The sequence below is a fragment of the Homo sapiens genome, chromosome 13 (assembly GCF_000001405.40).
Source record: "Homo sapiens chromosome 13, GRCh38.p14 Primary Assembly".
NCBI lineage: Eukaryota > Metazoa > Chordata > Mammalia > Primates > Hominidae > Homo > Homo sapiens.
In genome coordinates, this window is record NC_000013.11 from 80,870,593 (window position 1) to 80,890,429 (window position 19,837).

At 34.5% G+C, this 19,837-nt stretch overlaps 1 pseudogene, besides 3 other annotated features; it reads left to right on the plus strand.

Annotated features, from left to right (window-relative positions):
- Window positions 221-721: an enhancer, noted in NCBI's record as "H3K4me1 hESC enhancer chr13:81444948-81445448 (GRCh37/hg19 assembly coordinates)". NCBI's record gives its function as "activates a minimal SCP1, AML or CMV promoter by ChIP-STARR-seq in naive H9 embryonic stem cells {active_cell/tissue: H9 hESC(naive)}" and the evidence as "EXISTENCE:reporter gene assay evidence [ECO:0000049][PMID:30033119]".
- Window positions 722-1,222: an enhancer, noted in NCBI's record as "H3K4me1 hESC enhancer chr13:81445449-81445949 (GRCh37/hg19 assembly coordinates)". NCBI's record gives its function as "activates a minimal SCP1, AML or CMV promoter by ChIP-STARR-seq in naive H9 embryonic stem cells {active_cell/tissue: H9 hESC(naive)}" and the evidence as "EXISTENCE:reporter gene assay evidence [ECO:0000049][PMID:30033119]".
- Window positions 3,107-3,186: an enhancer, noted in NCBI's record as "active region_7861". NCBI's record gives its function as "activates an Ori minimal core promoter by ATAC-STARR-seq in GM12878 lymphoblastoid cells {active_cell/tissue: GM12878}" and the evidence as "EXISTENCE:reporter gene assay evidence [ECO:0000049][PMID:35858748]".
- ARF4P4 (ARF GTPase 4 pseudogene 4) lies at window positions 17,553-18,592 on the plus strand (annotated as a pseudogene).

Genomic DNA, 19,837 nt, shown 5'->3' on the forward strand with positions numbered 1-19,837 from the left:
TATAATTTGCCTTGGTGTGGTTTTGTCTTCTATTACTGTTCTGAGCATTTAGTGAGCCCTTTCTATTTGAAAGTTTATGCTCTCAGTTTTGGAAGTTTTCCTTGATTACTTCTTTAATAATTTTCTATTTTTTTCTTTTTCTATTTCTGAATCCTCTTGTAGTTAGATTTTGCATGCTCTATATTGAAGATTTTGTATGCCTTGTATTGGTAATTTTTAAATATTTTTATTTCCTCTTTTATATTTATCATAATACCTAGTTTCTACTATCATTCTTTGACAACTTCTAACCGTTTTAGTTATTTTTCAATAGAAAATCATAAGGCTTTTGTTGTTCTCTGATTTTAAAATTACATCCTAGTTTTTCAATGCAACATAAATTTTTCTTATTTCCCCAATAATTTTAATAGTAGCTGGTATTGTGTACAATTTTCTTTTCTTTCCAGAATTTCTTCCGTTTTCTCCAATTTTTACTTTTTTTTATTCGTTGGTATTGGTATGTCTTTCAGGCTCTTGCATGTCTATCAACCCTTGTGCATCCAATCACTTTTAAGAATGAAGTGCTAGGCCAGGCGCGGTGACTCATGCCTGTAATCCTAGCACTTTGGGAGGCCGAGGCGGGCGGATCACGAGGTCAGGAGATCGAGACCATCCTGGCTAACATGGTGAAACCCCGTCTCTACTAAAAATACAAAAAATTAGCCGGGCGCAGTGGCGGGCCCCTGCAGTCCCAGCTACTTGGGAGGCTGAGGCAGAATGGCGTGAACCCGGAAGGCAGAGCTTGCAGTGAGCCGAGATAGTGCCACTGCACTTCTGGCCTGGGCGACAGAGCGAGACTCCGTCTCAAAAAAAAAAAAAAAAGAATGAAGTGCTAAAATGTTACATTGGGGCATTTGTTTGGAGTAGGGCAAAACATTTCAACAGGTGGTTTTCATGTCTACATAGTAAAATAATCAAATGCGGATGTAAATATTTTATTGCAAAGCCCACACATGTTGGTATTTGTGAGTCACTTTTCCTAGGCCAGATTCGCCAAAGAAAACTCCAATTTCCTGCTTCGAGCTTAGAGGAGGGGAAGATATTAACTTGGCTTATAGCATTCAGAGATCTCAGAAGGGACAAGTGGCTGGAAACCACTTAATACAGAGCTTTTCCATTGTAATCACTACCCACCTCCACCACCCTCACCTAAAACTGGTGACTGATTATTTAAGAATGTTAAATGACTTTGATTATTTAAGAATGTTAGACAATAGCATAGTGAGAACTTGCCGTAAGCTAAATATTTTTAACTGCTTTCACACAAATTATCTCAGGTTTCATGTTTAAAGTAGATAGGGCCAGGTGCAGTGGTTCATGACTGTAATCCCAGCACTTTGGGAGGCTGAGGTGGGTGGATCACTTGAGACCAGGAGTTCAAGACCAGCCTGGCCAACATGGCAAAGCCGCATCTCTACTAAAAATACAAAAAAAAAAAAAAAAAAAAAAAATTAGCCAGGCATGGTGACGCATGCCTGTAATCCCAGCTACTCAGGAGGCTGGGATGAGAGAATCACTTGAACCGGGATGCAGAGGTTGCAGTGTGCCGAGATCATGCCACTGCATTCCAACCTGGGCGACAGAGCATGACTAGGTCTCTAAATAAATAAATAAAGTAGATTGGTAGTTTTTCCATTTTATACATGATGAAAATGATGTTTAGTAAAGTTAGTAAATCCCACTGTCAGTATGTTTGATGTGACCCATGAAGCGAATGGATATTAAGAAAGGCATTACGTGTTTGGTTGCAGTTTTTGCTTATACCTTTGTTATTATGTCCAATATTATAAATTAAAGCAGAAATCTGAGAGTTTTTACCTATTATCTGTTCAGAAGATATGACCCTAACTTTGTATGCAAATACTAAAAGTTCTCGGATAGAAAAGGAAAAGCTGTTCTCACCTTTTTCAGAGTCTCATCTAATCAAATCATGTTTTTCAGTGTAAACTGGTTAATATAAATATAGGACGATCAACCAAGGAGATATGAGCTGCCACAATATTGATAATCTACATCATTAAGAAATCCTTACTTCAAACAAGTACTTAATGCTTTTTTCAATGTTTTAGCCAGATAAGCTCGAGATTTTCCTGTCTTCCTGGAATACTGCTGATTCTGGTCGGGTTTCTATAATATTCTTCTTGGCCCAATTTCACTACTGGGACTTAGGTCAACCTAATTGTTGTAATTTTAATGACTCTAGTTTACTTGTCTCTGGCTAGTTCAGTGTGCTGTAAACTCTCCCAGAGATGTGAAGATGAATGAAAACTTCTCTAATTATTTTTGTAGACCAAATATATCATTGGCATCCAAATCTGACAAAGATATTACAAGAAAGAAATATTGAAGATCAATATATCTTATTAATATTGATGCAAAATACTAAATATTATATTAGCAAACAGAATTCAAAGTCACATTAAGAGAATCATACGCTATTACCAAGTTGAATATATTATAGGAATTCAAGGTTGTTTCAAGTAAGTCTATTATATCTCACATAATAATAACATACCAAAAAAAACTTCATAGATGCCAAAAAAGTCTCCCCAAATTCCACTCATTCCTGATTTTTTAAAAAGACTCAAGGTAATAGAAAACTTTTCTTGGTGTGGTATGATGCCTATATTTAGTTCTAAAGTTTATTACTTAATGGGGAAACAAGACCTATTTCCACTAAGATAAGAAACAAGGCAAGGATACTCATAGTCTCCAATAAGATAGTTGAATATAAAATTAGTTTATTAAATTAAATTTTTGGAATCATATAGTTCCAAAAAATAAGAAAGTACTTACAAATGATGATGCCATGTCAAAGAAACTCAGAAGCCAATTAATAGCTTTCATACACACAAAAATAATGAATTTGGTGTTATAATGGTAAGGAAAACTTCACTTATATTGGCAAGAAAGAAGAGTAAAAATTTAGGATAAACTAAATGAGAAATAGGCAAACCTATATAAGATAAATTTTAAAATATTCCTGAAAGGGTGGACTGCCCTTCCTATCTGGCAATAATAAGCTGCCCTGTCCTCTACTTGCTGGAGTGTTAGAGCAAGTCTTGAGGTGAATCAAGACTTTCACCACCACCCAGCAGTAATGAGGCCACCCTCTCTGTGGTGTCAGTGGAAGCCACAGAGGGGAAGTAACAAACAGTTTCTGTTCCAGCAAGCCTGAGAGGTATCAGTGACTGCTTGGTTGAGAGCCGGAATTGTCACCACATCCATGAGTAACAAGGAGCTCCCCACAAACTTGTGTGTCATTAAAGTCAGACTGGGGAACCTAAACTTTTAACCTAGTAAAGAGGCAGCATTCCTTTTTCTACTGCTGGAGTGGTATCAAAAGAAGACAGCTAAAATAGAAGGTTAAATAAGATCCAGAGATCCATACAATATTAATCAAAATATATGATTCAATAGAAACTACCCTTCTTATGAAGACATAGGAAGATCTCAAATAGAATAATAAAAGACAAGTGACAGATGCCAACATCAAGGTAACAGAGGGTTTGGAATTATCTGAAAAAGATATTAAAGCAACCATCAGAAAATTTTTAATGAGCAATTACAAACACCCATGAAATAATACTGTAAGCAAAAAATGAAAGATGTAAAGAAAAATAAAACGAAAACTTTATAAATAAAAAATAAAATAATAAAAAAATGGGATCAACATTAGAATGGATGGGACAAAAATAATTATTGAACTTGAAGATAGAATAATAGAAACCTAATTTGAAAAACAGGGAAACAAGTAGACTGAAAAAAAACTTGAACAGACCCTCAGAGATCTGTGGCATTATAACAAAAGCTCTAACATTTGTGTCATCAGATTTCCATAAGGAGAGGAGGAACAGGGAACGACTGAAAAACTGCTCAAAACAATAATGGCAGAAAACTTTCCCAATTTGCCAAAAGACATAAACATACATTTTCAAAAAGCTGAGTGAATACCAAACAGAATAGATTGAAATCCACACCAAGGAACATCATAGTCATACTTCTGAAAACTAAAGACAACGAAAAAAACCTTGAAAAACCATGAGAGAGAAAAGATACCTTACCTAAAAGGAGTCAACTTAAATGACAGTGGACTTCTCATCAAAAATCTTGGAAGCCAGAAAGCATGTGGCTCAACATTTTTCAAGTGCTGACAGAAAGCATTTAACCACAAATCCTACATTCAGGAAAAATATTATTCAGGAACTAAGGAAAAATCAAGGCATTCTCAGATACAGAGAAACTGAAAATGTGTAACCAGCAGACCAAAAAGAATAGCTAGAGGAAGTTATTTCAACCAAAAGAAAATGTAAAAAATGGAATCTTTGAATACCAAGGGGGAAGAAAACTATGGAAAGAGCAAAAATATGTGCAAATACGTTCCCTTATTCTCTTGTATTAAATTATGTTTCATGGTTGAAACAAAAATTATACCACTGACATGATTTAAAATGTATAAAAAATGTTTAAGACAATTATGATTGGAGGAGATAAAGGGAGTGTTAAAGGACATCAGATTTCTATACTTGATTCAAACCAGTAAATATATTCTGGATAATGAAAGCTGATTTCTTGCTGGATGGGGCAGGCATTAAAATAAGGAAGGAGGCAAAGCCAGGATGACCCTTGTGGAATTGTACTGGAACCAAAAAGACCAATATGTAGTCATGGTGGTTTTTCTTTTTTGTTTTTTTTTTTTAATTTAAATATATACAGTTGGCTATGGGTCTAACTGTGTATGCATGTATGTGCTTACATATATTTATTTTCAGGCTTAGATTATTCTTAAAAGAATTGTCCCTAAAAAACAGTGTGCAAATGTAATGCTGAGATATTCATTTATAAATACCATTTTCCAATAAATGGAAATAGATGATTCTAGGTCTGAGGTAAGAGGAGAAAGCACAGAATGAGCCTGAAACATCAATCATATAGTTCCAGAAACGAAGAAAGTACTTTAAAATGATGATGCCATGTCAAAGGCGCTTGGGAATCGACTTCAAAAAGCAACCAGTGGCCAAATCTGGAACATTTTTAGCCACAAAATAATGGTGCTAGTAATGTTTTCATTTTTGTTTTTAAAGACAGAGTTCTGCTATGTTACCTGTGAGCCACTGTGCCTTGCTGATAGTAATGTTTTATAGCCCATAGACCAAAGTAAATATCCATTAGATTGCACTGGGGTTATAAATAATGAATAGATAAATATATAGTAGAGGGAAAAAATAACTATTTTCAATAGTAGCATTTCAGTATATAAATACAAAAATAATAACTGAAATTAAAATCACCTTTTTGGCTGGGCGCGGTGGCTCACGCCTGTAATCCCAGCACTTTGGGAGGCCGAGGCGGGTGAATCACAAGATCAAGAGTTCAAGGCCAGTCTGGCCAAGATGGTGAAACCCCGTCTCTACTAAAAATACAAAAATCAGCTGGGCGTGGTGGGGCAGGTGCCTGTAATCCCAGCTACTCAGGAGGCTGAGGCAGAGAATTGCTTGAACCCAGGAGGTGGAGGTTGCAGTGAGCTGAGATCATGCCACTGCACTCCAGCCTGGGCAACAGAGCAAGACCCCATCTCAAAAAAAAATCACCTTTTTTGTTTGGTTTGCAGACACACACTGTAATCATTGTAGTCAAGAATTATCAATGTGCACCAAAATTAGTTGGGGAAGGTGTTATGAGAGACAGGATATTTGCAATATTTCAAAGTATCTGCCCATAAGATACTTATTAGTTAAAAGTGAAAATACTAATATTGCGGGACAGAAACTTGGCAAACCTCATTTTAACAGTTATCAAATGTAATATCACCAATAATGAGACATGTCATCCTATATCTGATATGAGGCACTGAGAAGGGTGCAACAAATTTCTGTGGTCCTCTTGCCAAATATGTATGACACATACTCAAGCTGACTAATGAGCAATGTAAACTTAATGCAATGATGAGTGCCGGATTAGATGTTAGGCCGGTGTAAATAAATTAGTGAGACAATTGATAAAGGTGAATAAGATGCAGATGAATCAATATTATTATATCAATGTTAATTTTTAAATTTTGATAGTTATACTATGGTTATGCAATGTGTCAACATTTGTTAACGAGTTGAGAAAAGGGTTTTGGGGAACTCTTCATACTATATTTGCAACTTTGTATAAGTCTGAAATTATTTCCAAATAAAGTTAAAACAGGTAAAAATAAATAAAATAACTAGTGTGACTTCTGTCTCCTGATTGTTCATCAGCTATGATTTTAAATTTGTTGGTATAGTATATATTAAAACATTTAGAACTATATATAAAGATAATTTAATACACTATAGAATAAGTTCATTATTCTGTTTGGTTTGCCCTTAAATGATTTTAAGTTAAAATGTCCTTAAACATTTATTACCATTGTTACATTATTACCTTTTAAATTCAAATTTAGATTTATCTGTAGTCTATAATTTAAAAAATCTCTTACTTTTTCCTGTCTTTTAGGTAAACTTTTCATAGTTGAATAAAAACCAAGAACAGATTAGTAAGTACTAAAATAGTATGGGCCCTTATCATTGTATCTTTTCCAAATAAAGTTATCCCAGTATATAATCTTTACAGGCAAGCCCTATTTGGCAAAGAAACTATGTCCAAATGTTTGTGTTTCAAACATAGAGTAATTATAAACAGTGTAGCAACTTCTCATGATTGGCAAAGAAGAACACATATTGGGGTTTTTAACATTCCACGTAGTTTTATTAACATTTATCTTCAGTTAGGCATTGAGTACATGTGAAGACAATATTGGAATTGAGATAAAATATATACACTTAATGTTTTCTGTAAGGATAAGACAAAGATAACATCTTATTTGATAGTTTGAACTGGTTGGAATTTGACCAATTAGAATGAATAGCTTTGCCTGAAAATCTTTATCTTGATGGTCAGAATTTAGATGGGTAAGCTGCCTGATTAATTCCAGATTTCAAATATTTTCATTCCAAATTTTCTTCCTGGCAGGATAATTACCAGGAATAATATAGATGAGTACAAATGTTTTTGGAAAAATTTATGTTGTTTAGGGTTAAAAATAAGTTCACGATATTTAAACTTGGTCAACTTAAATGATATTTAAAGTACTTGGTAAACTTTGTCATCTTCTAGTTTCTAAACATTTTTTGGAAATAATCCTTGCAAGGTTTTGTAATACTCAGTGTTCTCTGGAAGATGAATTCCAGTTGGCTGTATTTCATAGCACCTGCAGCTTTCGGAAATAACTAAGATTTTCAGTTGACATGTCCTAGATATTAATTTATGTTGTAAGTTAAAATGATTAAATTTGTGTGCTTGTGAGGCAAGGTGCTTTTGTTAAGAAGAACATTTAATGAAGAACAAATAAAGTCAAACAGTGATTTAAATCTCTATTTAAGAGAGAAAAATATATAAAAGTAATGCTTGGAATTTGACCTCAGCTGTTAAGGAGAAAAATGAATTACAAGAAAATGTAGAAGCATGTATCTTAGCTTATTTCAGTGTGGTTGTTTTATAACCTTAAAAAAAATACCATTTAAAGTATTGCATGTGTAACAAAGTGTTATTTTGTTAAATTATTCTTATGCAAATAAGGTTTGCAACATATACTAAAGTCTCATTATTTGTGTGTTGTCTTTCTGAGAGTTAGAATAAACAGTGAAAGATTAAACATAGGATTCAAGTTGCCTGTGGTTTGATCCCAAATTTTAAATGTTCATTGAGAAGAAGAGTTCTCTGAGGTCAGACACAGGAATGATACAGATTTAATTATGGTTTTGAGTCACAGCCCCTAAAACAAGAATGGTCCAGCAATGAGCAGGATAATAAATCAATAAAAGATTGGATGACAGCGTCACAAACCAATATTTTGCATGTGACCACATACCTAGATCACTACTAAATTTAGTTATTATTTGGAAATTCAAGGATATCCAGGGTTGGCCTGGGGATTTAAAATGCATGTTCCTCATTGAGGGTTTGGAATGGGTTAAGGATCTTTTAAAAGTATTTGGGGGTTTTGTCAAGTCCTGAGTTTTCCTGAGTTTAAATGCTTTTAGGAAATAGCAATTGGCTCACTACAGATGGTTTTAGGAAAAAAACAAAAGACAAAAACAACAACAGCAAAAAGCTTTTAAATATGTAGATCTTAGACACTAGACCTGCCTTAGACTAGAGGAAAAGATGGCTAAAAGTGATAAATTTAGGTGACAAATTTTCAGCTTTATTGCCTTGTCCATTTACTGCAAACCTGGAAAGATATAAAAGAAATTTGCTGAAAGGATGGGTAGAAGCACAGAAGCTGTTAAGGAGCAATTGTGTCCTTAGAAAAAGGAGCATTAGTTTCCAGAATATTTGTGGGATAAGAGAAACTGAGGAAACACTGAGGGATATTTGAGAGGGACTGATGGAAATACGCTCTTCCAGGGAGGCAGGCACTGTTTTTTATTGGTCAACAGTCTATTTCCTGAGCATAATTGAGTACTTGCACTCAGATGGTACTTAGCAAAAATTTGTTTAAAAAAAAGAAATTTAATCCCTCTCTCCTCAATCCTTCTCTTGCACTTTGCAGCTAACTTCAACTATAGTACATGTTATAGTATGTTGAATTTTTTTTTTTTTTGAAATGGAGTTTTGCTCTTGTTGCCCAGGCTGGTGTGCAATGGTGTGATCTCAGCTCACTGCAACCTCTGCCCTCTGGGTTCAAGTGATTCTCCTGCCTCAGCCTCCCAAGTAGCTGGGATTCCAGGCGCACGCCAACATGTCTGGCTAATTTTTGTATTTTTAGTAGAGACGGGGTTTCGCCACAATGGCCGGGCTGGTCTCAAACTCCTGACCTCAGGTGATCCACCTGACTCGGCCTCCCAAAGTGCTAGGATTATAGGCATGAGCCACCGTGCCCAGCCCAATATGTTGAATTTTCATGTAGCATGCTGTATGTTGAGAGAGAACAGACTTTGGAGTTGGAGAGATATGGCTTCCAATCAAATTCTATTCACTAATATCTTGATAATTTAGGAAATTTGCTTAACTCCATTGAGCTTCAGTTACCTCATCTGTGAATTAGGAATAATACCAAAATCATATACAAAAAGTTTAGCACAGTGCTTAAAATAAAGAGGAATGTGTATATTGAATAACATGAATGATACATTTGTAATAGAGAATGTAGAATAGAATGGAACAGAACAGAATAGAATAGAATAGAATAGAATAGAATAGAATAGAATAGAATAGAATAGAATAGAATAGGTTACAAATCTAAAGTAATATATCCGCTGAAAAACTTACCTGAATAAACTGGTTGCCTTAGAAATGCATCAAATGGCAAGTTCACTCATGATTGATGCCAAAATAGGTAGGTGCTATAATTCACAATTAATGAGTAGAGGAAACTATTATAGCCCCTGACAATGATAAATATTTAGGAGTTATTTGGGCTAATAATTTTGAGGTAGGACAAATTCCCTTTCCAGCAACGCTGAACAAAGTAGATTCTCTTTGTCATTGGTTGATGCTTAGTAATCCACTCCCGGAGCAATGCCAGAGGCCTAGACCTGGAAACTAGATTGCACCAACACCAAAGCAGAATTTCTGTCCTACAGGTTCTCCATAGACAGGGAGAGAAGGAAAACTAGCAGGAGAAATTTTGGAGTCCAGTAGGTCACTGCAGAAACCTGAATCAGAAGAGTGACAAATTGAGAGAGGCTCAGAAAACAGTATTCAAATCTAGCAGTCATCATAAGACCAACAGATAGAAAGCTGGAGCAAGGATAAGGAATGGGTTTTGGGTGAGAGGGGAAGACGAGAATGGCAGGTAGACCAAGGTTGTTGATAAAGTTCATGCTTGGCTTGTGTTGGGCTCAGGAACAAAAATGAGAATAAGTTTGTAAATGACATGAAAAAGAATTGGAAATACTGTGTAATTAAAGTTGCAGGGAAATCAGAAAAAAAATGTATTTCTAAACACATATAGAATGCCTTGTAATTTAGGTTCATATTCTCAACACATTTGGCAGAGTTTCCTGAAGAAAGACAAATCTTAAAAAGATATACAAAATCAGGGAAGAAAATTTATTGTTCAAAGAGACATTTTAAAATATGACTGGCCTTAAAATGTGAAAGGCACATTGAACTGAATTTGACCTTGGCAATTTGTAATAAAAGATGAATACTTTTGCAAAGATGGAATTTTTGTTTATCTAAATTAAATGATAAACATTATTCTTCTTGAAGTCTGCCTTATCCTAGATCTTCAATTTTCTTCAATGAAGGATGTCTTCAGATATTTTTATCCAAAGCTTTTTCTTCATTATTTTGAATATTCATTTTAATCTTCATTCACTAAGGAAAATTAATGGAATGGGATGGATTCACTCATAGTTAGATATGTATATATGCAATCTTTCCTCATTATAATTTTTACAACGTGGATATGTTTACTTTATAACTCACAGAGTATATCATTTTTATTTTCTTGCTATATCTGTTTTATTTTTGATTATAAAAAATGTCTCAAAGGATAAAATTAAATATGTGTTTGTGTATAAAAAGCAATTCTATGCAATGATTAGCCTCCCCATTACCCAGAAACATTTTTTATGCTGACAATTGATGAATCTCATGTTATGGCTCATTAGTAAACTTAGGTTCAGTTCCAAGTTTTTAGACATACTCCCAAAAGTCATTCAGTATAAACATATATGTACTTTACAGCATTTGTTGTGGTAGGTCAGAGGATATTGTCAATGATTCTGGTCTTATTTAAGAAGGCTCTGCAGTTTGGTATATCATTTGCACCCTACATACATAAGGAGCATAAAAGTCAACCAAGAACATAGCACTGTGGCATATCACATGACAAAGAATGGTATCTCTGGGATTCTCAGTCCTCATTCTGTCAGCTCATAGTCTAAACTTCAATGTTGACTTTTAGAAGAAGCCTAAGGCAAAATTTCAAAGGAGCAGGTAAGTGGAAAGTCTCATCTTATTCTCTACCAAGTCCAGGGCTGTTTGCCTTCCTTTTTGGTCAGCTTGTCCAACAGGTTGCTGTGGTGGGGTATGTGGGATGCTCTTTATGAAAGAGGCACTACTAAAGTCAAATAGCTCTTAAGTGTAAGAACTGAGATATGAATCCAGGCCTCCTGACTCCAGTTCCTTAGCCAAAATATATACTAAAGGTATTAAATAGCTAATCTTTTGCAAGACAGGTAGGTAAATTTGGGTTTGAGTCAATAATCAAGAAAGTACCCAAGTCTGGTTCTGTTTTCAAAGTAAAACTCCGTTTAATGACAGTAGAAATGTGACTTTATACTTTGCACTTTGAATTCAGAGTAGGGCTGTAAGTGGGCATTCCTGTTGCCTGATCATATTTCTTGCTAATCTCTTAATATTTATAGATAGAATGCCAAAAAATGTTAAGTGTGTGCTAATAGGTTCCTAAAAGGATTGGCCCTTAACTTTCCATATTAAGCCTTTGCTTATCTTGTCCAAACCCTCAGTTTTGTTGGAATTCTAATTACTAACCTATTCCCCTGTGCAGATGGTCATGGGAGGAAGTTCTTCCTCCCTTGACCAAAGTAATTTATTAGTTTGTTGACAGATTACACAAGGCTGGGTTTTCTGCTTATCACAGTTAATGTCTCAAATATGCCTGAGGAGTGTGTATTTTGTACTTGTAAGGTCATCATGTTGCCACAAGCTCTAGCCTGTTTGTTTGAACAGGGGCAAGAACATGCACATAGATCACTCAATAAGCATAATTGTTAAAGGTATGATGGCTAACAAAGATAAACATGGTCCCTGAGGAAGAGGTCATAAAATTCCCAGCATGTCTTCTAATGGCAACACAAATTTTATAAAAAGCCTATTTGATAGTTTGGCTTTACTCTTATACATATGTAAACAGTTTAGTTAACTTCCTTATTATGTATTTGTATCACAATAGAGTTAATGCATACAGAATTGTTTGTTAGTATTAACAAGTAGAATACCTGAAATCATCACATCTACTATTCATGAAATGTATCAATGTTTTTCTTAAAATTATGTATATATTAGTGCCAGTGTAAATGGATGGTTTCAGTAGTCCAGAGAACTTGTTTAAATTTCCTATTAGAAAATGAATATCTACTTCTATATGTCCCAAATCAGTGAACATTTCTGTGGTCTTTTATATAGTTTTAACATTTCAGATTAAATGTTTCATCTAATCATGCCTCTTCACAAAAAATTAAAGAATAAACATAAAAGTAAAAAGAGTAAAAAATTTGAAAGTAAAAGTAAAAAATAAAAAAATTCATCAGATTGTAAAATAAATTCAGATAAAAATTCAACTATTATCTGAGTGGCTCCAAAAAACTCATTGATGACTTTGTCAACAACTCAAGAATATCAGAGTTGTGAAGACAAAACATAGAAAAAAAAATTGATCCTTATATTGAAGAGATATTTCAAGATAACAGGTACTAATTATCATTTTTCCTTTTCTAAAAAATTTAGAATGCAAAAATTACAGTTGACTATTAACCAGAGTTTATTGAAGAATGGCAAGAAATGACTTGGTAGTGACTGAAGTAAGAAAGTGCCTCGCTTTTTGATCGAAGCATTACCTGTTTTCAAAGGACTATGTGGTCTAGAAGGCACTCAGGAGACTAACTTAGTGACCAGAGGAAAAAAAGGTTACTTATGGTTCTGCCTTGTGACTCTTCATTATCAGCACATTCCAGAAACTCATATCCCTTGCTTTTCCTTTTTTATTTCCTATATTCTTTCATATTTTTAAAGAACAAGTCTCACTTTGTAGTTTAAGATTGTAAAGATTGTAAAGTTATTTTATCTCATTGCTGTGAAGAATGCTATTTGTTGTTCATTTGTTAAATATTATTTTACTTTCTAATAAAAAACTTTTTAATTTTTTTATTTTTCACTTCTTTCATTTTATACCTCTTCTTTAAATTTCTCCTCAGAAAGTTTGTATTCTTTTTACTTTATCTTGTTATATTTATTCTATATTATTTTATTCATTTACTTTTTGTCTTCTACTTTACTCTTTACCTTTCTTTTTACCTTTTACTGCATTTTCTTTGTAATACTTATGCTCTTTGATTAATTTTATAGTTTAGTTTCTTACTTTATACTTTATTTGATTTTATTGCCCCTTTTTATAATGGCTATAATGGGATAGCAGCAGAGGAAGAGGTAGTTCAGAGCACTTGTTTATTCTTTGAAAAAAAATTATGTGACTATAATATACTGGGCACAATATTTGTGAGAAACATAAATTATTGAACCATTTACTCTATCTTTAAAACATGAATCTGGTGCAGTTTCTCTCAGCCATTTCTTTGAGATTAACTGCCCCCATAAAACCAAGTAAGAGATTGTTCTCTCAGGACCACTTGAGGGCAGGTGGTGCATGCAGAGGTTTTTAAACTGCACTTCCCTGATTCCTGACAGGAGAGCAGATTCAGGAACACCCATAAGGGATATTGGATAAGCCTGCTGACTAGCATGAATTTCCCAACTTGTGTTTTTTTCAAGAGGACTCCCAGGAAAAATCTCTTTCAGGAAGTCCTCCCTGGAAGTAGTTGTTCTTCTGAGTAATTCTTTTATTTTATATGCATTGTGAACGACAAAGCTGAGAGTTTTCCCTCTTTGTCTTGGCTTTTGGAATAAGCACAGTCCAATTTGTGCCTTGCTTCTTGCAATTTTGTAGCAGGAGTTTATAGGATAAACTTAGTGTACTCAAATTCACTTTTAGCTGCCTTTTCTTTCTTCTCCTTATATTCAATTTGCACCAATTTCTTTATTAATAAATATCCCTTATTTTGTTTTTCCTTCCTTATGCATTTTAAAAAGGTTTAAATTAGTTTTAAGAGCAAGGCAAAGGCTTTTTTTCTCATACTATAAAAAGATTTTAACAGATTGCATATTTTTGAGCAGAAACTATGCTCCATCTGCCTCCACTGGCACTGAATAGTACACTACCTGTCACAAAAGAGTGTGAATTCTAGTTTAATTGATTCCAGAGCAGTTCTGTGTTTTTATTGTCACATAGAAACCAAGTGTTTAGGATTCATATACACCCCCAAGTCTGATCACAGGCAAATTGTGCAATGATCATTGTTTCTAAGGTTCATATTTATTAAGCTTGTGTGCTCAGGGGGCTACCCTAAAACTGATTATGTCTTCGTTTCCTCTATCTTCTCTAACAGCTAAAGGTCTATGATTACAAGGCATTTCTTGCCAAGGCGTTGTCTTTCATAAGTCAATAGACATTTGCAGGCTTTTGCCTACTTATGATTGTGGGGTTTCCCTACAGCTTACTCTGTTATCTTAGAAAAAAATGTTAAGTATCTTTTCTAAGACTGGATATTTCTTAGATATACATATAGTAAGGAGTAGACTGTTGCAAATTTATGGGAAGAGATGAAAAGAGGGCAGATATTATGCAAGTCTCCATCAAGTTATTTAAACAGTAATACATTTGAACTCTTCTTTAAAAGTAAAATTATGTCTTTATTATCCTGCATATACCTAAATGTAGTTCTATATTTGGGGAAAGATTAGATTAGAACTAAAGGGCACATTCTTCAGGAAAATGTCTGACATATAACCACTTGCTGTTCCTTATTTATGTATTTCTCTATATCAAACTTAAAGAAAGATATAGAGAAGTTATTCACATAGACTTTGTATAATGAGGAGATTCCTCCCTTCTTCCTGAGCACAGCAGAATGGAGATGGTCAATGGGGCCACAAACGAACTCTTGGGAATGAGCAGATTAACACTTTTCCTAAAAAAAAAGAGTGATAAATTATCTAAATTCTTCAAAATGCTTTTTAAATTTGGTTGAAATTTTAGAATTTTTAAAATTCTGACAATAGTAAAATGCCAATTGTTAGAGGTGTTCCTGTTTATGTGTTTGGTTTAGGTTAATACTGTGTTACCCAATGTGACTAATCTTTGAATTATTAATGTAATGTTCATAACTTTTGCTAGCAACTCACCCAGAATGGTCAACTCTTTGTTATTGTGTAGTATTTATCACCTATTCTAAGGCATTATAGTATTTATTATTTTGACAAATTTTCAAATATAAGTGCTAGTCTCTAAAGCAATGGTTTATAAGCCATATCTTTTAGACATTACTATTCTAATATAGATCTTTTCCCATTAGATTCAAAACAACTTGAGCTTCCTTTCCAACAGAAGTCTCTACTACCTTTCAAGTTGCCATATAACTTGAAATGTATTTACTATTCCTTTTTGATGAACAAAAGAGGTCCGGTTTCACAAATGCTTATCAAGTTCAATATTAGGTGAGATTCTGTATTAGGCAAAGACGAATAAAATGAGATTACAGTGTACTGGGAGAAACATACATATACAAATAAATTATAATGAGATTTCTGCTTTGGGCCAAGATGGAGTAGAAGAAACAAGATTTACCCTCATGACTAAAACAAGAAAATAAGAAACAAAAAATATAAAGCAATGGATCTCGACATTACCCCTCAAGCAACAATGGCAGTTATGTGAGTGAGACAGAAAACAAATGAGGTGAGTTCTGTGATTGCTCTAGCCTACACGTTTCTGGAACTTAGGGCAGAGCAAGGACCCAGGGAGAACCTGGCAGTCTCCCTGAGTTTAGAAAATGAATCCGAAAACTCAGGGAAGTCAAAACACCTAGAGTTTGAAAAGAAAAGCATGGGAGAGGAAAGAAAAGCAAAGAGAGAGAACTGCAGAGAATTTATCTCACAAGTGTTCAATTGAAGGCTGATCAGTACATGTGTGTAAGGAAACCAACCACCTTAAATCATTAAAGGCGACAGTGTCCCGGACTTATAAAGGACCAGCAGTAGTGCCAGTTTCCAATATCTAGAGAAGAAAACCTCATAATTCACAGAATATCAGATAGTATACTCAGAAGAATATGCTTCAGTAGTGGAAAACATTAACCCTGACAAAAGGCTATGCTCATTCTTCTTAGGAAAGCATTAAGACAAGAGATCTCAAAGAGTGAACGCTTTCCAATTAACTTAAATGCCTTGTAGAACAAAGGAATCAAAAAATATCCTGGCCCAAATAAGATAAAATTCATGATGCATGTAATAGAAATTATGAAGCTTAATATAAAGAATAGAAATTATGAAGCTTAATATGAATTATTAATAGAAATTATGAAGCTTAATATAAAGAAGCAAGGAAATGTAAGCCATAATGAGAAAAAAAATCAATTAAAAATGATTCGGAAAAAAGGGGATGGAGTCAATAAAGAGTGAAAGAATAGTTTTTACAATTGTATTCAATATGTTCGAGAAGCTAAAGGCCAGATTGGACATGTAAAGTGCAGACATGAAAGAGGTAAAACTAAAACATCTCAAGTCTAAAACAGATAACAATCTGCAATGCCTAACAGAAAAATACAGTGAGTAGAGTTAACAGCATTTTGCAGAAGAAAAGCACAGTAAATTTCAAGACATAACAATAGAAACTATTCAAAAGGAAATACAGAAAGAAAAAAGATTTTAAAAAACGAACAGAATATCAGTGAACTGTGGGACAATTCAATTCAGCCAAATGTATGTAAATACAGTCAGAAAATGACAGGGTGGGGTGAGGTGACGGAAAAAAAATCTGTGAAAAAACACTGGCTTAATGAAAAACATAAATTCAAGATACAAGAAGTTCATGGTAGCCCAAACATACGTACACACACAAATAAAGAAAATGACACCATGACACATCATAATCAAATTGCTTAAAACCAATGATTAAAGATAGCCTTTAAAGGAGCCGGAAGAAAAGATTCATTATAGAAATAGAAACAAAAATTAGGACATCAAATTTGTCGTTAAACAATGAATATTTAAGGAGTGGATCAATATCTTTAAAGTCTTTATCTAAAATTTAAAAAATAAACACATCAGCCTAAGATTATCCAGCAGAAATATGTTTCATAAAGAAAGAGAAAAAAAGAAAAAGACTATTTCAGACATACAAAAGCTAAGAGAATTTATAATGAAGGCATCCGCACTACAAGAAATGTTAGAGAGAGACCTCGAAGTAGAAGGAAAATGATACCAAATGGAAATCTGTAATGACAGAAAAATGAACATTAGAAGTAGTAAAGAAATGGGTGACTATAAAGACTATTTAAGTCTCATTAATAGATAACTGTTTAAAACAAGAATAATGATGTTTCCTGTTATTTATAATATATTGAAATAAAATGCATGATAAAAATAACTCAAAGACCATGCAGGGTCAAATGGAAGTATGTTGTTTTAAATTTCTTACCCTGGGAATGAACTAGGACAGCATTACATGAGAGTAGAGTGGTAAGTTAGTGAGGTATACTATAAACCTCAAACCACCACCAAAATAACACCACAAACACCTACATCTACTAAAAGCAGCAGACATAAAGTAAAATACAGATAAAATGCAGACATCCGAGGGGCTGGTCTGCTGCGTGACTTGGCACGGCTGAAGCGCCAGTCGTCCGGCAGGACCTCACCCCACTAATTCCTGTCAAGCAGCTTCATGGACACGTTGGCCAGTGAGACGCCCCTGTTGCTCTCTTTCTTTCTGAGCTGTTTCTCTTCCCTCTGGTTCGGTTTTCTGAGAGCGTGAAAGGAGAGGGTCTGGGGACACCCCACGCCCCTTTTGTGTCTGCCCATCGCAGGTGCCACTACCACCCTGGGCCTCACCATCCCCTGTATTCCTGTCTTCAGCAAGAAGCAGATGTTAATTTTGATGGTTGGATTGGATGCTGCTGTCAAGGTGATCTCTGTATAAGGTAAAGTTAGGGGAGATGGTCACTATCATTCCTACCAATGGTTTTAACGTGAAAAGAGTAGAATACAAGAGCATATGTTTCACAGTATGAGAAGGTCAAGATAAAATTAGGCCTCCCTGGAGGCATTACTTCCAGAATACCCAGGCTCTTATTTTTGGCAGATAGCAATGATTATGAAAGAATTCAGGAGGGAGCAGAAGAGCTACAGAAAATGCTTCACAGAGATGAGCTGGGAGATACTGTGCTGTTGCTTTTTGCAAACAAACAAAATTTGCCAAATGCTATGGCCATCGGTGAAATGACAGACAAATTCAGTCTCTGTGCAACAGAACATGGTATATTCAAGCCACTTGTGCTATACAAGGCACTGTTCTGTATGAGGGACTTAACTGGCTGGCAGGTGAGCTTTCAAAACATTCAATGAAACTGGTTATCTAACCAAGGACATGTTTGATAGAATTGAAACTAGGCTTGTTACAACAAAACTAGTTTGCATCTTGGTTATTATACAATCTCTGGGACTCCTTAGGCAGACTATTACAGCATTTAAACTTGTTTTGTTGCCTTTGATTGTTTACCAGGTATGATGTTACTATTTAGCAATATGCTTGGTTTTAAAGAAATTCTCCTGGGAAAAAGTATCCTCCTTTAATTTTATAACCGTAAATTCCTTGCTATTGTGAAACCTTTAAATAAACCCATTTGAATGCTTTTTGAGCCCACACCAATTTTTTTTTCTTTTTTTTTTTTTTTGAGATGGAGCCAAGCTTGCTCTGTCACCCAGGCTGGAGTGCAATGGCACAATCTCGGCTCACTGCAACCTCTGCCTCCCACGTTCAAGCAATTCTCATGCCTCAGCCACCCAAGTAGATGGGATTACAGACTTCTGCCACCACGCCCAGCTAATTTTTTCTATTTTGTTTGTTTGTTTTAGTAGAGACGGGGTTTCGCTATGTTGGCCAGGCTGGTCTCGAACTCCTGACCGCAGGTGATCCACCTGCCTCAGGCTCCCAAAGTACTGGCATTACAGGTGTGAGTCACTGCACCCAGTCAACAAATAATGTTTTAAATTATCACCTTGCTACTTTACTGATACCTTTGTCATTCCTGAGACAGTCTGCTCATTTAAAAGTGTAGCATTTTATTGGTATTTATTTATCTCCCTTGCCAAAGAAGATTTTTTAAATACTGCTTATACCAGCCAGGAAAACGGTCCAAAACACTATTCAGTTCTCTTGCGCTGAGGAACTTATTTTTTACCTCATACTGATTCCTTACTTCCATCAGCCAAACTTACTTTGGATTCGATAGCTAATTAGTTATGTGACGATTGCAAAGAGTTCATATTGAGATGGTTTTTAATACTCAACAGATTGTGTTCCTTTATATTGTATCTTTTTAATGTTGAATGTCACTTGGTATCACTCTAACTCTTCGCTTAGTATATGATATCTCTGCTGATGTTTTATTTTTATTGGCAAATGTATTTTCATTAAGAGTTTTCAGAAAACTCATCAAATTCAATAAATAAGTTTCCTCATAACCCATTTGGAATTACTCCCAATATAATGACTAAAATATTTAAAAAATTAAAAAATAAAAATGAAATTTAGTTAAGAAAAGGAAAGTAAAAAAGAGGTAAGAGCAGACAGGACAAAGAGGAAACAACAAATGGTAGATTTAAATCCATTTCCAATACATAAAAATGTTTCTGTTATATTACTGTGTGCAAGATATTTATAAATGTCAGGTTGTGATTATAGGAGATATCTTTGTAACAATAAATTGTTCATTCTCTCCTGCCTTTTAAAGTGTCACTAAAATTATTTCTGCTTTCTTTTTCTTTTTTTTTTCAGTATGTCTTTTCTTATTCCTATATATTCAGGGTTTTTCAGAATCTCACATTCAGAGCAAATGGATACATTTTGTTTTATTGTCTGCGTTTTTTTTTTAAGTAGCTGACTGACTTTAAAATTATCATG